General features: G+C 61.8%; 3 protein-coding genes across 9 annotated transcripts in view, besides 3 other annotated features; all 3 read left to right on the top strand.

Moving 5' to 3' along the window:
• SHC2 (SHC adaptor protein 2) overlaps positions 1-10,151 on the top strand; it is a 44,445-nt gene extending 34,294 nt beyond the window's left edge. For 2 of the 6 annotated variants that reach the window (XM_011527896.3, XM_047438565.1), the window contains 3 exons: positions 1,509-1,643; positions 4,284-4,609; positions 4,652-4,816. In XM_011527896.3, coding sequence (XP_011526198.1) covers positions 1,509-1,643; positions 4,284-4,609; positions 4,652-4,801 — 611 coding nt within the window. In that variant the 3' untranslated portion in view covers positions 4,802-4,816. Of the gene's footprint in view, positions 1-1,508; positions 1,644-4,283; positions 4,610-4,651; positions 4,872-7,683; positions 7,818-9,417 lie in introns of those variants that run through there. The other 4 variants (NM_012435.3, NM_001387056.1, XM_011527893.4 and 1 more) reach the window with 4 other exon arrangements.
• A 2,123-nt stretch (positions 10,152-12,274) lies between these two features.
• On the top strand, positions 12,275-17,218 carry LOC124904607 (proline-rich proteoglycan 2-like). The gene is made up of 2 exons (XM_047439790.1): positions 12,275-14,611; positions 15,180-17,218. Exon 2 carries the CDS (start codon positions 15,284-15,286, stop codon positions 16,445-16,447), a length of 1,164 nt encoding a protein of 387 aa, XP_047295746.1. The 5' UTR covers positions 12,275-14,611; positions 15,180-15,283; the 3' UTR covers positions 16,448-17,218.
• Positions 13,074-13,829: an enhancer, noted in NCBI's record as "H3K4me1 hESC enhancer chr19:412911-413666 (GRCh37/hg19 assembly coordinates)". NCBI's record gives its function as "activates a minimal SCP1, AML or CMV promoter by ChIP-STARR-seq in primed H9 embryonic stem cells {active_cell/tissue: H9 hESC(primed)}" and the evidence as "EXISTENCE:reporter gene assay evidence [ECO:0000049][PMID:30033119]".
• A 374-nt stretch (positions 17,219-17,592) lies between the features above and the next one.
• On the top strand, positions 17,593-21,295 carry C2CD4C (C2 calcium dependent domain containing 4C). Of its 2 annotated transcripts, XM_011527694.2 has the most exons (3): positions 17,593-17,734; positions 18,339-19,557; positions 20,105-21,295. In XM_011527694.2, the coding sequence occupies exons 2-3, from the start codon at positions 18,379-18,381 to the stop codon at positions 20,264-20,266; spliced, it is 1,341 nt and encodes a 446-aa protein (XP_011525996.1). In that variant the 5' UTR covers positions 17,593-17,734; positions 18,339-18,378; the 3' UTR covers positions 20,267-21,295. The 2 variants fall into 2 exon arrangements, with proteins under 2 accessions (XP_011525996.1, NP_001129735.1); NM_001136263.2 differs by having other exon boundaries at positions 18,339-21,295.
• Positions 18,850-19,730: an enhancer, noted in NCBI's record as "H3K27ac-H3K4me1 hESC enhancer chr19:407010-407890 (GRCh37/hg19 assembly coordinates)". NCBI's record gives its function as "activates a minimal SCP1, AML or CMV promoter by ChIP-STARR-seq in naive H9 embryonic stem cells {active_cell/tissue: H9 hESC(naive)}" and the evidence as "EXISTENCE:reporter gene assay evidence [ECO:0000049][PMID:30033119]".
• Positions 19,731-20,610: an enhancer, noted in NCBI's record as "H3K4me1 hESC enhancer chr19:406130-407009 (GRCh37/hg19 assembly coordinates)". NCBI's record gives its function as "activates a minimal SCP1, AML or CMV promoter by ChIP-STARR-seq in naive H9 embryonic stem cells {active_cell/tissue: H9 hESC(naive)}" and the evidence as "EXISTENCE:reporter gene assay evidence [ECO:0000049][PMID:30033119]".
• Positions 21,296-21,341: the final 46 nt, after the last annotated feature.

Below are 21,341 nucleotides of genomic sequence, written 5' to 3'. Positions count from 1 at the left end.
GTCGTCCTCCCTCCCCGGACTCTGCCCCTCTCGGTGTCGTCCTCCCTCCCCGGACTCTGCCCCTCTCGGTGTCGTCCTCCCTCCCCGGACTCTGCCCCTCTCGGTGTCGTCCTCCCTCCCCGGACTCTGCCCCTCTCGGTGTCGTCCTCCCTCCCCGGACTCTGCCCCTCTCGGTGTCGTCCTCCCTCCCCGGACTCTGCCTCTCTCGGTGTCGTCCTCCCTCCCCGGACTCTGCCTCTCGTGCTGTCGTCCTCCCTCCCCGGACTCTGCCTCTCTCGGTGTCGTCCTCCCTCCCCGGACTCTGCCCCTCTCGGTGTCGTCCTCCCTCCCCGGACTCTGCCCCTCTCGGTGTCGTCCTCCCTCCCCGGACTCTGCCTCTCGCACTGTCGTCCTCCCTCCCCGGACTCTTGGAACTGCGTTTCTTCCCTCTCACCCATCCTGACCCTAAGAAGCTGAGAGAATCTGTGCCCCTCTTGGTAGACTGGGAAGGCGGGGGAGAAGCCCCTCTGCCCTCGTCACCCAGCAAGGGCTAGTGCAGCCTCACGTTCATGTGGATTCACAGCCAGACCCTGTTCCAAGGCAGAGGCAGTCTGGTCAGGACCTGGCAGAATACACATGGGGTCCAGGCAGCTCCCGAGGGAGATGCCCCAAGGTTACCTGCGATGCTGTTCCGGTTTGAACCATGTGGATAGTTTTTTTTTTTTTTTTTTGGAGACTGAGTCTCATTCTGTTGCCCAGGCTGGACTGCAATGGCACAATCTCAGCTCACTGCAATCTGTGCGTCCTGAATTCAAGTGATTCTCATGCCTCAGCCTCCCAAATAGCTGGGATTGCAGGCGCCCACCACCACGCCTAGCTAATTTTTGCATTTTTAGTAGAGACGGGGTTTCACCATGTTGGCCAGGCTGGTCTCGAACTCCTGACCTCAAATGATTCACCCACCTCGGCCTCCCAAAGTGCTGGGATTACAGGCGTGAGCCACCACGCCCGGCCCCATGTAAACACTTTACACGTTCAAAATACAATTAAAAAAAGAAAGGAAGGAAAATCCTGAAATAGAACTGAGTCAGAATAAGTGACCCTCCGTGCGTCATGTTGATAGCATAATTACAGGGAAGCAGAGTTACTGTGATTATTTTTAAATGTGGAGACTGAACATACACGCACTGGGAAGCTCTGGACCCTGGGCCGGGGAGGGCCAGGGCGGGGTGGGGTGGAGCAGCGGCTGCCTTCTCCCTGGGCGTGGACGTCTGGTGCCCACAGCCCCAGCCGCACGCTGCCCCACTCTTGTCCCTGGTTGGAGCCCCGACGGGGCTTTGCTGCTGTAAGATGCTCCCTGTGGCACCTGCAGACGGGCGGGTTACCACAGGGAGACCAGAGCAGCATCCGCCCTGCAGCCAGCAGCACAGGTGGTGGCCGGGGGAGCTCCTCGTGGGACCCCGCCTTGCTCCCTGCGAGCCCCTCGCCTGGCTCCCAGCTGACCCCCTGCCCCTCTTTACACTCCCCAGCTCCACCGGGGGACGGCTACGTGCAGGCGGACGCCCGGGGCCCCCCGGACCACGAGGAGCACCTGTATGTCAACACCCAGGGTCTGGACGCCCCCGAGCCGGAGGACAGCCCCAAAAAGGATCTGTTTGACATGCGTATGTGGCAGCCTGGGGGGCGGCCGTCATCGCGTGTGGCCGTGTTGTCTGATGGGGGAGGCACAACCCCACCCCCACTCCCTACGGGATTCCCTGGTCTGATGGGGGAGGCTCCCTTCTCCCCGTGAGATCCTTCAAGTCGACGGGTGGGACGGGGAAGCCCAGTCTGTCTCCTGTCGGAGGCCTTGTCTGATGGGGGTGTCCTGGACTCTGCCTTAAAAGGGGCCAGTCTGACAGGGGAGGCCCATTCTCTCTAGCGAATGCGGCCGAGCAGTGTAATGGGTGAGGCCCAGCCCCTCCTACAGGACCCCATCTCCCGGGGCCTCCCTGCTGAACCCCCAGTCTGGTTGGGAATGCCGCTGGCCCCCGCTCTGTGAGAAGCTCCACTCTCTCGGGGGTAACCCACCTGCCTCTGTCGGAACCCCCGGTCTGAAGGGAGGAGGTTCGTCATTCCTTGAAAGAATGGTCAGTGTGGTGGGAGGCTGCGGCCCCGTCTGTGAGGCCCTCCAGTCAACAGGGGAAGCCAGACCCTCGCCCCATGGGACTCCTTAGTCTGAGAGGGGAGGCCTCGTCTTTTCTCTGTGGGAATCCCGGCCTGCTGGGACGACTGCCTGGCCCGCTGGTCTTGCACGCTGACTCTGGGTCTCCCTAGTCTGATGAGTTTTCTCTTCACGTGACTCCGGGGTCTGAGGATTCTTCCTACGGAAATCCCGGCCTGATGGGGGAGGCACAGCTTCCTGCTTGAAGGAACGCCCAGTCCAATGAGGGAGGCTTAGTCCACCTCTGGACAAAGTGGCTAGTCTGACGGTGAGCCCGTTCCTTCCTTCCCCGTGGATGACCCAGCCCGAGGGAGCCCCCAGCCGGGCGGAGGAGGCTTGTCCTTCCTTGGCTGAGGTGTCCAGAGTTCTCTCCTGATTTCCTGCAGCCTCGACTCTGCCCTTCTCCAGCACGGAGAGGTGTTGGCTCTGAGCTGCCGGGTAGGGTCCTTGCCTGAGCTCAGGATGCCTCCCAAGCTAACTGCAAATTTCTCCCTTTCCTCCACCACCTGACAAAGCAGCTTCTCCTCAGCTTCACAATAATGACACCATCTAGCACCTAGTGGGCGCCTGCTGTGTACCAAGCACTACGTGAAGAGCTTGCTCCTCTTGGCTCCTCACAGCAGCCCTCAGATGGGAAAGGAGGGGCTTGGGGCTCTGAGCTTCCCTCTGAGGCAGGCTGTCCCTCAGGGTGACCAGACTGCCAGGCAGCCCCGGTTGAGGAAGGGTGTCTTCTCGTCCGTCCTCCACGAAGAGTCCTGGGGCTGCCTCTGATTCGCCACGTGCTCGTCCCCAAACCAGTCGCTGGCTGGGAGGGGGAGGTGAACATGCTGACTGGCCAGGCTAGGAGTTGGAGCTGGCTCAGCCCCCAGGGTCAGGGCTGGAGGACCCCCCAGGACCAGGAGCTGGAGGGGCGGGAGACCAGGGAGCGAGGGTCAGGGCGGGAGGACCCCCCAGGACCAGGAGCTGGAGGGGCGGGAGACCAGGGAGTGAGGGTCAGGGGGGGAGGACCCCCCAGGACCAGGAGCTGGAGGGGCGGGAGACCAGGGAGCGAGGGTCAGGGCGGGAGGACCCCCCAGGACCAGGAGCTGGAGGGGCGGGAGACCAGGGAGTGAGGGTCAGGGCGGGAGGACCCCCCAGGACCAGGAGCTGGAGGGGCGGGAGACCAGGGAGTGAGGGTCAGGGCGGGAGGACCCCCCAGGACCAGGAGCTGGAGGGGCGGGAGACCAGGGAGTGAGGGTCAGGGCGGGAGGACCCCCCAGGACCAGGAGCTGGAGGGGCCGGAGACCAGGGAGTGAGGGTCAGGGCGGGAGGACCCCCCAGGACCAGGAGCTGGAGGGGCGGGAGACCAGGGAGTGAGGGTCAGGGCGGGAGGACCCCCCAGGACCAGGAGCTGGAGGGGCGGGAGACCAGGGAGTGAGGGTCAGGGCGGGAGGACCCCCCAGGACCAGGAGCTGGAGGAATTCAAGGCCGCCCCAGCCACGGGTAGATGCATCTCCGTCAGGGCTGGGGCTCCAGCACTGCAGGGTCTGAACCATGCTGCTTTCTGCCTGGGGACACGCCCACCCCTGTTTGACAATGAGGGGACTGACACTCAGAGGAGAGCCTTAGAGTGGCCTGTCGGATGTTGGCATTGTTGGAAGCCGTTAGAAAACCCAGGGCAGAACATTTTAACGCTAGGGGCAAGAGAGGGGTGCCGGCTGTCGTCTTGAGTATTTAGGGCACATTGGAGGCCCCGCGGCCAATGCAGTAAGACCAGACAAGGAAACGAGAGGCGTACGCTTTGGGAAGGAAGCCCACCTGACAAGGCAGGAAAAAGAAATAGGAGTTAACCTCTGAAAGAAAGAGCTGCTGTTACCCTTTGTACATGCTTAGTACGTGCCTAGAAAACCCAACCTGGGGAGTCCAGGTTGCTACACATGTGAGCCCACCGCACGCACGGGGCTGGGCAGAGTGCGAGTCTGATACGCTGTGGGCGCTCGGTCAGCGCAGGCCGACGGGTGCACGAGGGACTCCCCGGGGAACCCGTTTCTCCCAGCTCTGGTCCCGGCAGGAGTAGCTGCTTGCCCCCTGCCTGCCCAGCACTCCTGTCCCTGGCCTGCAGGACCCTTTGAGGATGCCCTGAAGTTGCATGAGTGCTCAGTGGCGGCAGGCGTGACAGCAGCCCCTCTTCCCTTGGAGGACCAGTGGCCCAGCCCCCCTACCCGCCGGGCCCCTGTGGCCCCCACGGAGGAACAGCTGCGTCAGGAGCCCTGGTACCACGGCCGGATGAGCCGCCGGGCGGCAGAGAGGATGCTTCGAGCTGACGGGGACTTCCTTGTGCGAGACAGCGTCACCAACCCCGGGCAGTATGTCCTCACCGGCATGCACGCCGGGCAGCCCAAGCACCTGCTGCTCGTGGACCCCGAGGGCGTGGTAAGCTGTGCACAGGTGGGAGGGTCTCGGGGCATCCAGGGGCTTCGCTGGGCACAGGTGGGAGGGTCTCGGGGCATCCAGGGGCTTCGCTGGGCACAGGTGGGAGGGTCTCAAGGGTCTCGAGGGTCTCGGGGCATGCAGGAGCTTTCCATGTTTATGAAGTTTTTCCAGATTGTTCCAGATGTTGCCTTTGACCAGCTACTGTAGAATTACAAAGTATTTTCCAGTTTATTTTTGAGACAGAGTCTGGCTCTGTCACCCGGGCTGGACTGCAGTGGCACAGTCGTAGCTCTCTGCAGCCTCGAACTCCTGGGCTCAAGTGGTCCTCCTGTCTCAGCCTCCTGAGTAGCTGGGACTACAGGTGTGAGCCACCGTCCCCAGCTAAGTTTTGTAGAGATGGGGCCTTGCCACGTTGCCCAGGCTGGTCCCCAGCTCCTGGCCTCAAGTGATCCTCCTGCCTTGGCCTCCCAGTTGTAATCTCAATCTTATGATTTCATCCATCATAAGATGCTCTCCCCCCCCATTTATCATGACTTATGCACCTTACAAATGGTGATGTATCTGAGGGATAAATATGGTATTTTCAGGTTCTAATTTATTTGAGGGTGTACAAAGTATGTCTCAATTTACAAGGAATTTTGGGATCAAGTTACTGAATTGCTTCAATTCCTTCTTCCTCCCTCTCTCCCTCCCTCCTTTCCTTTTTTTCTCTCTTTTTCTTTTCTTTTCTTTTTTTTTTTTTTTTTTTGATGGAGTCTCGCACTGTTGCCCCGGCTGGAATGCAATGGCGCAATCTCGGCTCACTGCAAGCTCCGCCTCCCGCGTTCAAGCGATTCTCCCGCCTCAGCTTCCCCAGTACCTAGGATTACAGGTTCCCACCACCACGCCCGGCTAATTTTTCATATTTTTTTAGTGGAGATGGGGTTTCACTATATTGGCCAGGCTGTTCTCAAACTTCTGACCTCGTGATCCACCCGCCTCGGCCTCCCAAAGTGCTGGGATTACAGGCGTGAGCCACTGCGCCCGGCCCTTCTTTCTTACTCTTTTCTCTCTCTCTCTTTTCTTTCTTCTTTTCTTCCTTTCCTTTCTTTCTTTCTTGATGGAGTCTCGCTCTGTCACCCAGGCTGGAGTGCAGTGGCGCAATCTCAGCTCACTGTAACCTCCACTTCCCGGGTTCAAGCGATTCTCCTGCCTCAGCCTCCCGAGTAGCTGAGACTACAGGCGCCCACCACCACGCCTGACTAATTTTTGTATTTTTAGTAGAGACGGGGTATCACCATGTTGGCCAGGTTGGTCTCGAACTCCTGACCTTGTGATCCACCCACCTCAGCCTCCCAAAGTGCTGGGATTACAGGCGTGAGCCACCGCGCCCGGCCTAACTGCTTCAGTTCTAAGATATACACTCTCCCCGCCTGAATTTTGATATCTCTAGAGTCTGGATTTTGTTTAAAAACCATCAATTGCATATTTGAAGTGCATCATTATTTTACAGGGAGGTTTTTCTCTTCTCTCTCCTCCTGGTACCTAAAATCATGGCGCATCTTACAGTTGCTCTGGGCCAATGAGATTTAGTAATCTCCAGCTTCTAAAGCATTTAAAGGTTTACAAAGCATTTTCCAATTTACAAGGAGTTCTAGGGTTTATGAAGCGTTTTGAGCGTCCGAGGGCTGCACAGGTTATTTCCCAGGTGAGGAGGTGCTAGAGGGTTCGGAGGCCTCTCAGAGCGTAGGAGGCGTTTTCAGCCATCCAGCTGAATCCTCAGGTGGCTCTTGGGCTGGTGTGAGCCTGGTCTCTGCGTGAAGCACACGGCGGCGGGCGGGCAGGTGGGGGCTCTTGTGCACCCCGGCCTGGGACAGAGCTGGAGGGGGCAGGGCTTGGGCGAGAGCTGCCTGTTCTCCCAGTTCCTGAGCCCCCTCAGACTGTTTCTGGTGTCCCCGCCACTGCCTAGCCTCTAGCCTGGTGTGTGATACCTCAGTTCTTTCCCAGGCCAGATTTTCTCTGTTAAATGGATCGCTGGGGTCAGACCGGCAGCCACTACACCTGGAGAAGCTTCAGAACGTCTACCAGTACCTTGTTAAAAGGCAGATTCCCAGCTCCCATTCCCAGTGCCACACAGAAGGACGTGATTGTGCCACAGGCCTAGGAATGTGTATTTGTCCCTGTTCCGCACGTGAAGTGTGCACAGGGCCCCCAGCCTCACCCGGGAACTGCTCGGCAGCCGTGGATTTACCCCTGCTTCCCACGTGAAATGTGCACAGGGCCCCCAGCCTCACTCAGGAGCTGCTCGGCAGCCGTGGGACACAGGGTCTCTTGGTTTTGCATCCAGTTCCAGCGCTCGGTAGCGCTAAGAGGGTCTCGTTCAAAAATGCAGCTGGATTTTGATTTGGCGATTCAGATTTTCAGGCCTGTGTCTCCAGGATTTCAGGGGTGTGTTTCCTGGAGCTGCAAACCAAATGACCACACACGAAGTGGCTTAAAGCAGCAGAGGTTCATTCTCACAGCTCTGGAGGCCAGAAGTCCGAACTCAAGGTGTGGCCGGGGCTGGTTCCTTCCGGAGGCTCTGAGGGAGCCTCGGTCCCAGGCCCCTCCCGGCGCCCGCTGGTGGCCGGGCTCCCGGGTGCTGCCAGCCTCGTGGACACACGGCTCCAATCTCTGCTCTCTCCTGCCCATCTGCATGTTTTCCTTTTCCTGTCAGGAAAGCAGCTAGTGGACTTAGGGCCCCCCTGGCTCATCCTGGATGCATTCGTCCCAGGACCCTTGACCTGTTTATCTACCAAGACCTTTTTCCAAATGAGGTCACGTTCACAGGCTCTGAGGGCTGGGACCTGGCCGCATCTTCCCGCGGTCACCTTTCAGCTCCCGACAGGAAGCGTGGCCCCAGAACCCTGGGGGTTTCAGAGCCCGTGCCCATGGGTGGTTCTGGAATTCTGAGGCCGATCCTTTGGCTGGTGTCCCGGAATTCCCTGGTCCGGCCCCTCGTCCATGCAGGCACCCTAGGGGCTCCCCGGCAGGACCCCAGAACGCCAATATCCTACTCCACGGGTCCAGGCGGGCTCCCGGGAGCTGATGCCGAGGTCTCTGTCCCGCAGGTACGGACGAAGGACGTGCTGTTTGAGAGCATCAGCCACCTGATCGACCACCACCTGCAGAACGGGCAGCCCATCGTGGCCGCCGAGAGTGAGCTGCACCTGCGTGGCGTGGTCTCACGGGAGCCCTGAGCCAGGTGTGTGGCTGCCGCCGTGGGTCGCTGGCCTTGCCTCCTTTGCCAGATTCTTTTCTGATTTGAAAATTGAGACCCGGTTCACGTGCCGTGCCTTTCCCTCTAGAGGGCACGACTCAGGGGTGTTCAGCATCCGAGCCGTGCAACCATCTCTGTCGAATTCCAGAACATTCTGTCAGCCCCGAAAGAAGCCCTGTCCCCACCAGCCGTCACTCCCTGTCCCCTCCCCAGCTCCAACCCCACACATCCGCCTCCTGTCTCTGTGGATGGGCCTGTCCTGGACATTTCATAGCAATGGGATTCCACGCTGTGTGTCCTTCTGTGTCTGGCGTCTCTCACTGAGCGTGACGTCCTCCAGGGGCATTGCGCCGTGGCCCGGGCCAGAGCCTGGCTCCTGTTCTCGGCTGGATAATGTCCCGCTGTGTGAGGGGACCACGTTTTGTGTGTTCATCCGCTGATGGACGCTGGGGCTGCTTCCGCCTTTTGGCCGCCGTGAGCCTTTGTGTGCAGGTTGTGTGTGGACACGCGTCACTGCCCGTGGGTGGATATGTGCCCGAGGGTGGCAGCGTGCAGCCATGACCGTGACACTGCGGTCGGCTGTGGTGGGCGTCACCTGGTCTTTGTGGACCCCTGCGGCGTGCTGGGTGTCCAGGCCTCCTTCCCAGAGGAGGGGTGGGCACTGCCGGAGAGGACGGTGGGCTGGGACAGGCAGGGGCTGGCGTGTGAGCCCAGGCAGTGAGAAGACCATACCTCAGGCCGGGCCAAGGAGCCCCAGGCCTCCACTTTTGGTGCGGGGCCCGGGGGGACCCATGGTAGGGTGTGGACGGAGGAGGGACAGGCAGGTCTGGGTGATCTCATGGTCTCTCCTCTGGGGTGAGGTTGGGGCAGGAGAGGGTGCAGCTGTGGGGCTGGAGGGAGTGAAGGCTGAGAGAGCAGCCGGGGAGGAGGGAGGGCCGGCAGGGGGAGGGGGCTGTGGAATTTCCCAAGGGCTGCGCTTCTGGGCCAGGTCAGGCCGCTCTCCTGTCCCCATGACAACGGTCTCCTTCCAGCCTCCTCTCTCCTGGGCGGCCCCTCCCCTATGCGGCCGCGGCCTCCACCCAGCCCCCAGCCAGGCCTCGGGCTGCAGGCAGAGGGGGCTCCGGGTATGGCAGGGGCTCCTGTAAAGCACCTGAAACTGCCTGCGGCCTGTGGCACACGGGCTCCTGTGTTCCGTTCGCACCGGTCCCTGCCTGCGTCCCCTCGGAAAGGCGTTGGTGACCCCAGAAATAACCTGGAAGGCAGTAATGATTCCTGCTCAGGAGGCCGTTGCCCTGTCCCAGGAATGTGCTCAACCCTTCGGTTCTGAGACAGGCACTGGGATCGGCATTCTTGCTTGCACGCGAGGAGACAGCAGAGAGGTTAGGGCACTGCCCTAGGTCCACAGCAAGGACTCAGGACACCTGCACCGGAGCCCCAGCCATGCGACCTGAGGAGCTCTGGGCTGGACCTGAGGTGTGGCACTTGCAGAGATGATGCCAAGGCAGAAGAGCATGTGGCTCACACCGGAGCCCAGGTCTGCGGCCACCGTCTCAGCCCTGACCTCGCCTTCTCTTTCTGCCCGCAGGTGACCGTTCTCAGCCCTGGCTCCTGCCTGTTCTCAGCCCCGGCTCCTGCCTGTCATGGCCTTGGGGCTCTCAGCCCTCCTCCTGGATCCTGGTCAGGCCGAACCACCGCTGCCTCTCCTTCCTCCGCATGAGCCTCTGGCATGGTCCTTCCTCCAGCTGGCCCCGGGCTGGGCAGAGCCTCCTCCTGCCGGGGCCCCTGCCCACCCCCTCCTTTGCCTGGAGTGAGGGTGTTCATACCAAAGACGGAACCATTTCGCCTTTAAAGAAAATATATCCAGAAGCAGCCGCTGCCTCGGAGCCCTGGCCCTTGGGTCCCCCTCTCGCCTGGCTGGTTCGGTCTAACGCCCCGGAGAGTCAGGGCTCCCAGGACCCTGGGGAGGAGGCGGATTCCGGGCCTGGCTGGGCTTCCTCTTCCCACCTGAGGACTGGGTGCACAGTTGTCTTTGAGGGGGGACGCTTAAGGTGCTTTGGGGTTCTCAGGCCAGGATACATGCTGGCGCTGAAGTGCAGGCAGCCTTGAGGTCACCTGGGATCTCGGGGTAGCCAGGCTGCTCCAAGACAGTGGATATCGAGGCAGTCGTGAGGCCCCTACTCCACCTGGGAGCAGGGGAAGGACGTGGTTGCCTGGCCTGGGCTGCGCCCAGCAGCTTCCCCCCAGTCCTGCCCTCCCAGCTGTCGACCCAGATGGGATGTTCGGATCGGTTTGTAATTAAACCTGGGAATGGCCACAAGAGCACAAGCCCACCTGCATATCTGGGGGCCCTCGCGGGGCTGGGGCTGGGACGAGTCTCCCAGGTGGAGAGCTGATGAGGGGGCTCAGAGGGACCACATTTGGCCTCCCTAAGGGCCTGGACTTGGAGAGAAGGAAGGCGGGGCTGTGCGTGTGCCCGAACCTGGCAGATTGTGGGGTGACCCCTCTGCCCAGCAGCCCCCGCATCTCTCTGGTTACCTCTGTTTTATCCAGGATAAAACACAGTTCAACTTCTCCACTAAACACTTCTCTCACCTCCTTGGAGACACCCTAGTTTATCACCCGAATGCCAAACCTCTGCCTTTCAAGACAGCCCAGGACATCAGACAAGAGCTGGTTGTTTTCTTCTCCAAGATGCCCCCAGCATGGCCCTAGATGGGCCGGGCTTTCCTGTTGTCCTAGCTTCTCTCCAGGACATCCCCCTCGATGCCCCTGCTCTTCCCCGACGCCCAGCATCGTGCTCAAGCACCCCAGCTCCATTCCTTAGACCTGCCGTCATGTTACATCTGAGCTTCTGGCTCCAAGAGACCCCCCAGCTCCTCCCACAAACACAGCATCTTCCCAGGAGAGAGGTTCCCACAAACACAGCATCTTCCCAGGAGAGAGGTTCCCACAAACACAGCATCTTCCCAGGAGAGAGGTTCCCAGCCTCTCCACATCCCTGCAGGGCCATGTCTGTCAAGGGCCGAGGATCTCTGGCTGCTTTCTCTGCAGACAGCAGGCCCTACCCCCTGCCCTGGGGGACAGGTCTAGTAAGGGTGTGTGTGGGGAGAAAAAGCCACTCTGGTTTGTCCTTAACTAGGACTGGAGCCTTCCAAAGGCAAACCCAAAAGGGGCTTCAATGACACGTCTTTTATTTCCGAGATGTGGAGGCAGAGCCACCCATCCATCCTCCCGTCTACATGTCTGTCAGTAACCCATTCACCCATCATCCATCATCCATCTATAAACCTATCAGTAACCCATTCACCCACCCATCCATCATCCATTCACCCATCCATCCATCATCCATTCACCCATCCATCCATCATACATCATCCATCCATCCATCATCCATTCACCCATCCATCCATCATACATCATCCATCTATAAATCCATCAGTAACCCATTCATCCATCCCCCATCTACACATCCATCAGTAACCCACTCATCCATCCATCCACCCATCATACATCATCCATCTATAAATCTATCAGTAACCATCCATCCATCATCCATCCATCCATCATGCATCATCCATCTATAAATCCATCAGTAACCTACTCATCCATCCCCTATCTACACATCCATCAGTAATCCACCCATCCATCCATCTACACATCCAACCATACATCCATCCCATTTACACATCAAGTAATCCACCTACCCATCCCCCATCTACACATCCATCAGTAACCCACTCATCCATCCAACCATCCATCTGCATATCCAGCCATCCATCCATCTCCACATGTACACATCCTTCAGTCATCCATCCATCCAGTCACCCATTCATCGCCCCATCTACACCCATCAGTAACCCAGCCATCCATCTATCCATTCACCCACCTGGTCCCCCATCCATCGGCCTAAGCCTCCATCATTATTCCATCTATCCATTTTCCATCTGTCCATCCATTCATCATCCATGCATCCACCTGTCTATCGCTCATCCATCGCCTGTTCATTTTCATTCCCTTCACTGCTCCATCCATCCACCCACCCACCGTCTTTCAGCATGCTTGCATTGAGTATCTTTTACCTGCTTGAGTATCTTTTATCTGTCAGGAGCTCTGGTGGGCAAACAAGATGCAGTAATGACCAAAACAGATCTGCCCTTGTGGAGTTAATGGCCAAGTGACATTAATCCGCAAATCACCACTCAACATAAAATCACAACTGTGGAGTGGGCGCGGTGGCTCACGCCTGTAATCCCAGCACTTTGGGAGGCTGAGGCGGGCAGATCACCTGAGGTCAGGAGTTCAAGACCAGCCTGGCCAACATGTCAAAACCCCATGTCTGCTGGAAATACAAAAATTAGCTGGGCGTGGTGGTGCACGCCTATAGTCCCAGCTACTCGGGAGGCTGAGGCAGGAAAATCGCTTGAACCCGGGAGGCGGAGGTTACAGTGAGCTGAGATCGCACCACTGCACTCCAGCTTGGAGGACAGAGCGAGACTCCATCTCAAAACAAACAACTGTGGAAAAGAGTGCGTCATGGAGCTTAGAAATCCCAGGAAATCCAGGTGAAGAAAGTAGAGCTCTGGGCAGAGGAGATGGCGTGGGCAGAGGAGATGGCGTGTGCAAAGGCCCTGTGGTGTGTTCAGCCAGCACGTTCAGGGAGCAGAAGGGTGGCCAGTGTGGCCGAGGTGAGGTCAGAAGCGGGGTGAGGACACAGAGCTTGGGGGAGGCCTGGTGCCAGGAAGAGCTGCCAGGGGTCTTGAGCACAGGGGTGATAACATTCCCTGTGGGAAGTAAACTGTTGGGAATTGCGGGGAGGGCAAGGAGGAGGCGCTGGACCAGAGGAGTGCTGGGGAGTAGGGAGTGTCAGATTCCCAAGATGCATAGGATAGAGGGGTCTAAATGCACTTCATTCATTCATTCATAGCCCTGGGCCCTGGGCCCAAGTTGCCCATCCACACTCCACCTCTGTCTGTCCTCTTCCAAGTCCCTGTGTAAATAGAAACTGGCGCCTGCTGGGACATGAGCCAAGAGTATCATGAACTCGGGGGGCTGAAACTCTCCCTGCTTTACAGATGAGGAAACGGAGGCTCGGAGAGGCGAGGTGACCCCCGAGACCATCCCACTGGGAGGTGGTGAAGCTGGTTTTGGAGGGCCCCCATCTCCCAATCCCGTTCTCTGGGTTGGAAGAGCCTGGGTCCCCAGACGCCTGGCTCCAGCTCGGTCCCTACACCTGTCTCCTCCCCTTTCCTACCTTTGTACTTCCAATAATTGGAATAATTAAGTCAATAATCCACTCCTCGGGAGCCTGAGCCTGGAGTGGGAGGCAGGAGAACCCTGGGTCACATTCAACCTCTAAATGCTGCGCAGCCTGGAAGAGTCGTTTTCTTCCCTGAATCGCACTCGATCCCCTGCACGAGGAGACAGGAGGACTTGCTGTGGAGGGGCCAGGATGCCCCAGGAATCAGCTAGTGCCATGGAGGGGCCAGGATGCCCCGGGAATCAGCTGGTGCCGTGGAGGGGCCAGGATGCCCCGGGAATCAGCCGGTGCCATAGAGGGCCAGGATCCCCGGGAATCAGCTGGTGCCGTGGAGGGGCCAGGATGCCCCGGGAATCAGCCGGTGCCATAGAGGGCCAGGATCCCCGGGAATCAGCTGGTGCCGTGGAGGGGCCAGGATGCCCCGGGAATCAGCTGGTGCCATAGAGGGCCAGGATCCCCGGGAATCAGCTGGTGCCGTGGAGGGACCAGGACGCCCCGGGAATCGGCTGGTGCCGTGGAGGGGCCAGGACGCCCCGGGAATCAGCTGGTGCCATAGAGGGCCAGGATGCCCCAGGTATCAGCTGGTGGCATAGATGACCAGGATGCCCCGGGTATCAGCTGGTGGCATAGATGGCCAGGATGTCCTGGGTATCAGCTGGTGCCATGGAAGGGCCAGGACACCCCGGGTATCAGCTGGTGCCATAGATGGCCAGGATGACCTGGGTATCAGCTGGTGCCGTGGAGGGGCAGGATGCCCCGGGAATCAGCTAGTATCAACTGAGCACCCCGCCTGCGGCAGGCCTGGAGGTCAGCCGGTTCCATGTGCTCCCTGAGGAATCGGGCTACTCCCCGGTGCCTCAGTGTCCCTCTCTGGAAACTGGCGATGGTGGCCCTCCAGGGCCCTCCCACTGGGCTAACCCGTGATGCACGAATCAGTCAGGTCCCTCCTGGGAGCTCGCAGACAGTCCTGCTCCTGGGATTGTTTTATTGTTACGCCGTCCCCTCCCTTTCCTGAGGCTCCCAGGGTAAGTCTTCAAGCTGCACAGCTACCCAGTGGCCTCCTCAGCATTGGAGCTCGGATTGCAGCCCTCCCCTTTTTAAACCACCTCCCTGTAGGTCCTCCAAGCCTGTTATCCTGGAGGCCACTGTGGGGCAGCCTTGGATTCAGGCCTGGCTCTGGGAAGCCCCGGGTCCCTGGTGGGGCCCCCACCTGGGGGGATGGAGGGCCAAAGCCTCCCAGCATGAGGCGCCACGACTCAGGGCGGAGAGGGGCTGGTCGATACCACCTGGGCCCCTCCTCCAGCTTGAGCCCGAATCTGCAGCATCCTGGTCTCCCATCCTGGAGGGCTGCAGCGAGGCTGCTGCAGAGGGAAGCAGAAGGTTCTGTTGACCAGGAGAGGCTCCTGTTTACTTACCGATGGTGCAGAGCTAAGCAGCCAGAAGGCCCCGGGCTCCCTGCCCCTGCCCCACCCAGGGTGGGGTCTGCGTCCGTCCACAGGGCAGGTGTTAGGACCCATCCCAGGTACTTTTCAGGCCTATGTTTCCCCAGCCCCCAAATGTGATAGGATGTGGGGATGGGGTGGGGCTTCTGGCCAAGCCAGGCTGTGGTGGGGTCAGGGCTCTGGGGTGCACTTTGAGGTCTGGGCCAGCTCCCCCCTGGTTGAGACCCTTCCTGACCTGCAGAAGCGTCTGAGGGAGAGGGCGACTGACGCCTGCCTCGCACACATGGTGGGGTGCTGTAGGCACTTTGCACATAGTGATCTGTTGAGCCCTCCCTCGAGAGCCGTGGTGCCCTGGGCTGCTGAAGAGACAGAGGTCTGGATGCTTGTCCAGCGTCACACAGTGGGAAGGGTTGGCACCAGGATTCAAGCCCTGATTGACCAGCTCTGGATTTGTGTCCTAGCATGGAGACAGGCATAGTGTAAACTCAGTGCCTCATCCCCCAACCCAGCTGGCAGGAGAGGCTCTGCCCCCACCTGGGCTGGGCAGGGGTGCCGGAGAGCGAACCCCCAATACCTGGGGCTGGCCTGATGTCAGGAGACCCGTCACTGCCCCTTCCTAGGACCCAAGCTGTCCGCTTCCCTCCCCAGGCCCTGCTGTCCTTGTCTGCAATGGAGGAGGGTGGCTCTGTGGCCCCTGAGGCCCCCTCTCCTCGGGCCTGCTGAAAGAGCACTGTTTCGGGGCCATCGTGGCGATGCTATTCACCCATTTGTTTGGCAAATGTTTACTGGAGACATGGCTGGCCTGTGCCTTGGGGCCACTACAGGGACAGGACCTCCAGGACCCTCCTCCCGGCTCGGGCCCAGCAGAGACGGTGGACAGACCCCCAGGATCCGGGCCCAGCAGAGACGGTGGACAGACCCCCAGGATCCGGGCCCAGCAGGGGCGGTGGACAGACCCCCAGGATCCGGGCCCAGCAGAGACGGTGGACAGACCCCCAGGATCCGGGCCCAGCAGGGGCGGTGGACAGACCCCCAGGATCCGGGCCCAGCAGGGGCGGTGGACAGACCCCCAGGATCCGGGCCCAGCAGGGGCGGTGGACAGACCCCCAGGATCCGTGCCCAGCAGGGGCGGTGGACAGACCCCCAGGATCCGGGCCCAGCAGGGGCGGTGGACAGACCCCCAGGATCCGGGCCCAGCAGGGGCGGTGGACAGACCCCCAGGATCCGGGCCCAGCAGGGGCGGTGGACAGACCCCCAGGATCCGGGCCCAGCAGGGGCGGTGGACAGACCCCCAGGATCCGGGCCCAGCAGGGGCGGTGGACAGACCCCCAGGATCCGGGCCCAGCAGTGACGGTGGACAGACCCCCAGGATCCGTGCCCAGCAGGGGCGGTGGACAGATCCCCAGGATCCGGGCCCAGCAGGGGCAGTGGACAGACCCCCAGGACCCTCCTCCCGCCTCAGGCCCAGCAGGGGTGGTGGACAGCAGCCCAAGGGTATTCTGCATGGCAGCTGGAGCTGGGGTTCGGGGGCCCTGCTAGTCTGTGGTGGGGCCTGCCCAGGCTTCCTGGAGGCGGCGGCGGTGAAGGGGAGAATTCCTCGGTGTCTGCCTCCTTGTCAGACTTCGGGGCTGCGTCGCGGTTGCCCCAGCACAAAAATGAGGGCTCATCAACGTTTGCTGGGTGAGCAAAGCTTAGATGGGGTCACAGCTCCTCCGGGTTTCACTTTCCCCTCTGGACGGCAGGACTCTAACCCCTTATTGCAAGGGTACGTGGAGAGTGGGGAGGCCTCAGCCCAGCTCTCTCGCCCTCCTGGACCCCTCTTCTACCACTGTGGCAGCAGCCGCTCCTCCCAGCTTGGGCCACATCCAGACTTGGGGACATTCCCAGAATGCAGGAGGCTCCTGGACAATCAATAATTCAATAAAGCGCCAGGCGTCCGCCGGCTCCGGGTTGGTCCTGGGGATATGTTATCTTGCTGGCTCCAAGCACGAGGAGGCTGGGAACTGCTCAGCTCGGTTCCAGAAGAGGAAACTGAGGCGGGGAGGGCAGGGAGGGAGGGAGAGAAGGAAGCAGTGAAGGCCGGGGCTGGCAGATCACGAAGCAGCTGGCAGGAGGGGGGTCGGGGCCTCAGGAGGGGGGGACCCTGTGGTCTCAGGAACTGCCAGGAAGCCTGGGTTTGGACCTGGTCTTGCCCCCTATGGGTTTCTCCATCCGTGAATCACACGCATGTGCCTTCTCTCTTCGCCCCGACCCTCACGCTTTCCTGCTGTATTCCTGTTCCGGGCGTCACCACCCCTGCAGTTCTAAGCTGCACCTGTACGCTCTGTGGGCATCCTGCCCCTGCATCACCAGGGCTGGGGCCACCTCCCTCCGTCCCAGCTGTGTCCCCGGTGGCCAGGTCACTGTCCAGCATCAAGCGGGTGCTCAGGAAACGTTTGTCCATGAAATGAAGGAGCCCCCCCCTTCCAGGCTTCTTGTAGGGCTGCTGAGAGGTTGCCCATTTAGTAAGACCTGCTGTCCTAGCTGTTCGGTCCTTGTTTCTGGAAGGAAACCCCCCACCTTCCTCATCTACAGATTGAGAATTGCAGTAGGACCTGCGTACTGGGTTGTGTGAGAGTCAGAGACCCGCCAGGACGCTGGGAGGCTGGCAGGGAGGAAACGCTCCATCATAAACCCAGCTGCATTTATTACTGTTGCCGTCATTTAATTCGTCGTCGTTAGTCGGGAAAGCTCCTCGCCGGCAGCGAGTAGGGGGTCTGGGACCCTCTTCCGGTATACGGAGGCAGGGGCTTGGGAGTCCGACTTCCCGGAATCTGCGGGCGTGAGCGCCGGGGGTGGCCGTCAGCCAACCGTGACCACCTGCTTGTCTCCCACCGGCCCCCAGTCAGCCCCCGGGCCCTGGCGAGGCTCCTCCCTGCCACCAGCCTCCGGGGGCTGCGGGGAGACGGCCCCACCCCCTTCCCGCGGGGGCGGGGGCGCGGGCGCGGGCGCGGGCGGCCGTACTCGGAGGAATACGGCGGCGGCGGCGGCGGGGCTGGGCGGTTTCCCGCCGCGGGTGAATGAGTCCGACTGCGCTGCCGCCGCCGCCGCCGCCCGCATCGAAGCTCCGGCCGCGTCCCCCGCGCCAGCCCCGGGAGCCTGCGCGCCGAGACCCCTGCGTGTCTGCGAACAGACCTCCGGCCTCGGGCCATCACCCCGGGCAGGTAAGTCCGGGGACCCCGCCCGGTCTGCGGGGACCGCCGGGACCCCACCCCCCACCCCAAGCGGAGTCGGGGAGGGCTGGGGGCGGGGGGACACCGGGGAGTCGACTCGCTGCTCTCTCGGCCCCAGACCTACCGCCCCTCCCTTCCCCCACCCCGAACGCCTGGCCCTCCGGTCCAGGGAGGAGCCACAGGTGGGTGGGAGCCGGGGGGGCGGAGCTGGGACACCCCGGGGGTCCACCCACATCCGTGTCTTCCCCTGGGACTGAGCGCGGAACCCTTTGGAATGAGCGCTGAGATGCTCAAAACCAGAGTGGGGGCGGGCGAGGGGCCAGTCTCCTCTGGGAGCTCCCCGGAGAGTCAGAGCGCGGCCCCCACGCCCCTGGGCTTGGTGCTGGGAAGTTAAGCGGGATCTCTCCGGAAAAAGGTGGGGGGAACCCGCCTCACTCCTGTCCTGGGCCGCCGCGCCTGGGCGGGACGCCCCCAGGGGACCCCTCCACCCCCACCCCGCCGGCAGGGCCCTGCCGGGAGGCCCCACAGGGAGCAGGTGCCCAGGGCCCTCTGCCAGCCGCCCCCCACTGCTCCTGACCCCTGCTTCTCTTCCCAGACGCTGCAGCCCCTGTCCGGGCCTCTTGCCTGCCGCCCCCATGAGAAAAACCAACATGTGGTTCTTGGAGCGGCTTCGGGGGTCTGGGGAAAACGGTGCTGCCCGGGGCGTGGGGAGTGAGGCGGGGGACAAGGCCTCCAAGGGGCCCCTGTACAGCAATGTGTTGACGCCCGACAAGATCCCCGACTTTTTCATCCCCCCCAAGCTGCCCTCGGGCCCCGCGGAGGGCGAGGGACAGGCCGCGCTGGGCCCCTCCACGTCGGAACAGAACCTGGCCTCTGCGGCCCCCCGCCAGACCCCACGGAGCCCCCGGCTGCCTGCCAAGCTGGCAGCCGAGAGCAAGAGCCTGCTGAAGGCAGCCACCCGGCACGTGATCCAGATCGAGAGTGCCGAGGACTGGCTGTCCGAGGAGGCCACTGACGCCGACCCCCAGGCCCAGGGTGCCATGTCCCTGCCCTCGGTGCCCAAGGCCCAGACGTCCTACGGCTTCGCCATGCTGGCTGAGAGCCCCCACACGAGGCGCAAGGAGTCTCTGTTCCACAGTGAGCACGGGGCTCTGGCCCAGGTGGGCTCCCCAGGGGCCGGGCGCCGCCGGGCAGCTGCCAAGGCCAACGGGGGTGATGGGGGCCCCAGGGAGGCTGGCGGGGCCCTCATGAGCCCCGGCCGCTACTTCAGTGGCGGGGAGAGCGACACAGGGTCCTCGGCCGAGTCCTCCCCCTTCGGGTCCCCTCTGCTGTCCCGCTCCGTGTCTCTGCTCAAAGGTTTCGCCCAGGACAGCCAGGCCAAGGTGAGCCAGCTCCGGCACTCCGTGGGCCGCCACGGCTCCCTGTCTGCGGACGACAGCACCCCGGACGCCAGCCCCGGGAGCCGGCGCCGCCTGACCCGCCGGGCACCCCCGGAACCTGGCCCCGAGTCGGGCCAGGCGCGTGGGGAGCACACGGTCCACGTGGGCCCTCGGGGCAGCGTGCGGCTGCTGGCCGAGTACGAGGCCGGCCAGGCCCGCCTGCGGGTGCACCTGCTGGCCGCCGAGGGCCTCTACGACCGCCTGTGCGACGCCCGCAGCATCAACTGCTGCGTGGGCCTGTGCCTGGTGCCGGGCAAGCTGCAGAAGCAGCGCAGCACCATCGTGAAGAACAGCCGCCGCCCCGTCTTCAACGAGGATTTCTTCTTCGACGGCCTGGGGCCCGCCAGCGTCCGGAAACTGGCCCTCAGGATCAAGGTGGTGAACAAGGGCAGCAGCCTCAAGCGGGACACGCTGCTCGGGGAGAAGGAGCTGCCCCTGACCTCCCTGCTCCCCTTCCTGTAGAGCGGGGACCTGCTCGCTGTCCGCTCGGGTGCAGAGGGCAGACCCCGGTCTCTCCTCCACACCGGGTGCTGGCGGGCGGGTCCGCTGGCTTGGGCTGGGGCTGGCCGGGGAGGGGCTCACACTCAGGCTGGGCTGGGCGCTGATGCTGTAGCTGACGCAGGGTTTCCTGGGTCACCCGATGCTGACTGGAGTATTATTTTTCATGAATTAATTTCTCCTTTGGAGGAGGAGGAGGAGGAGGAGAGGGGCCTCGGGGGAAGAGAAGGGGCCACTTCGCGGGGCAGAGGGTCCCCCTTTGCCCCTCCACACTGCCTCGCGCCTTTCACGCAGAGTTCTAGAAGGAGGTTCTCAGGGGTTCAGGAATCCGTGCATGTGGCCAGGGCGGGGCCGTGGACAGGGAGGTGACAAGTCTTGGAGCCCACAGTCTCCTTCACTGCACGTGTGTCTTCCTCCCCCACAGCCTGCCGCCATCCAGTTCCCACCCCGCGGAGAGCAGGGCCTCGCGGCCACACCAGGCCCAGGCTCTGCCCGGGACGCCCCCTCCCAGGGGTCAGGCTTGGCTCTGGGAGACCCCAGCTTCCCAGGCTCCGGTGGGGAGTGGGGCCAGGCGAGGGTGCCCTGACGAGGGTGGGCGCGGAGGGAGCAGCCGCTGCCACAGTCGGAGCAGAGGAGGTCTTGGCAGAGGTCCGCGGGGAGGAGACGGCTCTCCTGGCCTGTTTTCCTCCAACACTGTCGCCGCTGGCTTTTTGGGTACAGGCCCGTCTGGCCATTTCTGCTGTGGCGCCGGAGGGTCTTGCTCAGAGATGCCCAGAGAGCAGCCCTATGGCCCATCCGTCCTCGCTGGGGGCTGCCACCCCGTCGCCCTTTTGTCCAGCGTCTGCAGCTGGGAGCGACACGCAGTGATTGACGGCCGTGGCTTTGACGCCACGTGTGTAAATAGGCTGTGGCTACGGTGGGTGGGTCGGAGCCCAGGAGGCAGCTGGGGGGACCTGGCTATGGCCTTTCCTGCTGTTAGGTGGCTGCAAGGCTTCCATTGTGTGGTTATGTGGGTCCTTGAATGATTTTGGGGAGGTTTCCAGCTCAGAATGATGCAGAAATGATAAGACTCAAAGCAGGGGCCAGGCCAGGCCAGTGCCTTCGCCTCTCCCGGCTGCTGGTGGGCACGGAGGAACCAGGGCACATCTGTGGTACCCAGGGACGTCCCTTGTCAGCCCGTTTGCCACACATTGTTCCTCTTGTCCAGGGGAGGGTGGAGGAGCTGCTTCCCAGGACTGGAGGAGCAGCTGGGCCCCTGCTGCACGTCCGGTGGGACACACCTGTGAGCCCTCCAGAGGGAGAGTGCAGGCCCCTTCTGAGCCTGGTGTTGCAGGGCTCCGCTCTCTCCCGGAAGCCAGGGCACCCAGGGCGGAGGCTCCTCAGGCCGGGGAGGCGGGGAGGGTGCCCTGCATGGAGAGAGACGCCGGCGCTCCCCGCCTTCTCTGATGCTCACCCCTCCCAGGCCCTGTTCTCCCTGGGGTCCCCCGTTTAGTAGCCCCCCTGCACTCTTTGATATCTTAGTGTCTGAGGTTGACTGTGGGTAAATCTTTAAGACACTCCCCAGCTGTGTTTGTTTATAAATGCTGTTTATAGTGCAATAAAGGTGTTTCGGGAATACGGGGGTGGAGGTTGGCTTCCCTGGCTGTTTAATAACGAGAGAG

This window comes from Homo sapiens, chromosome 19 (assembly GCF_000001405.40).
Source record: "Homo sapiens chromosome 19, GRCh38.p14 Primary Assembly".
Classification (NCBI taxonomy): Eukaryota; Metazoa; Chordata; class Mammalia; order Primates; family Hominidae; genus Homo; species Homo sapiens.
The sequence above is the reverse complement of the archived record's forward strand: the minus strand, read 5'-3'. Positions and strand labels throughout refer to the sequence as shown.

Coding starts and splice junctions, on each gene's coding strand:
- LOC124904607 (XM_047439790.1), top strand. CDS start 15,284: ATGCTATTCACCCATTTGTTTGGCAAATGTTTACTGGAGACATGGCTG.
- C2CD4C (XM_011527694.2), top strand. CDS start 18,379: ATGAGAAAAACCAACATGTGGTTCTTGGAGCGGCTTCGGGGGTCTGGG. Junction 19,558..20,104: donor AACTGGCCCTCAGGATCAAG/GTGGTGAACAAG, acceptor CCTCCCCCACAG/CCTGCCGCCATCCAGTTCCC.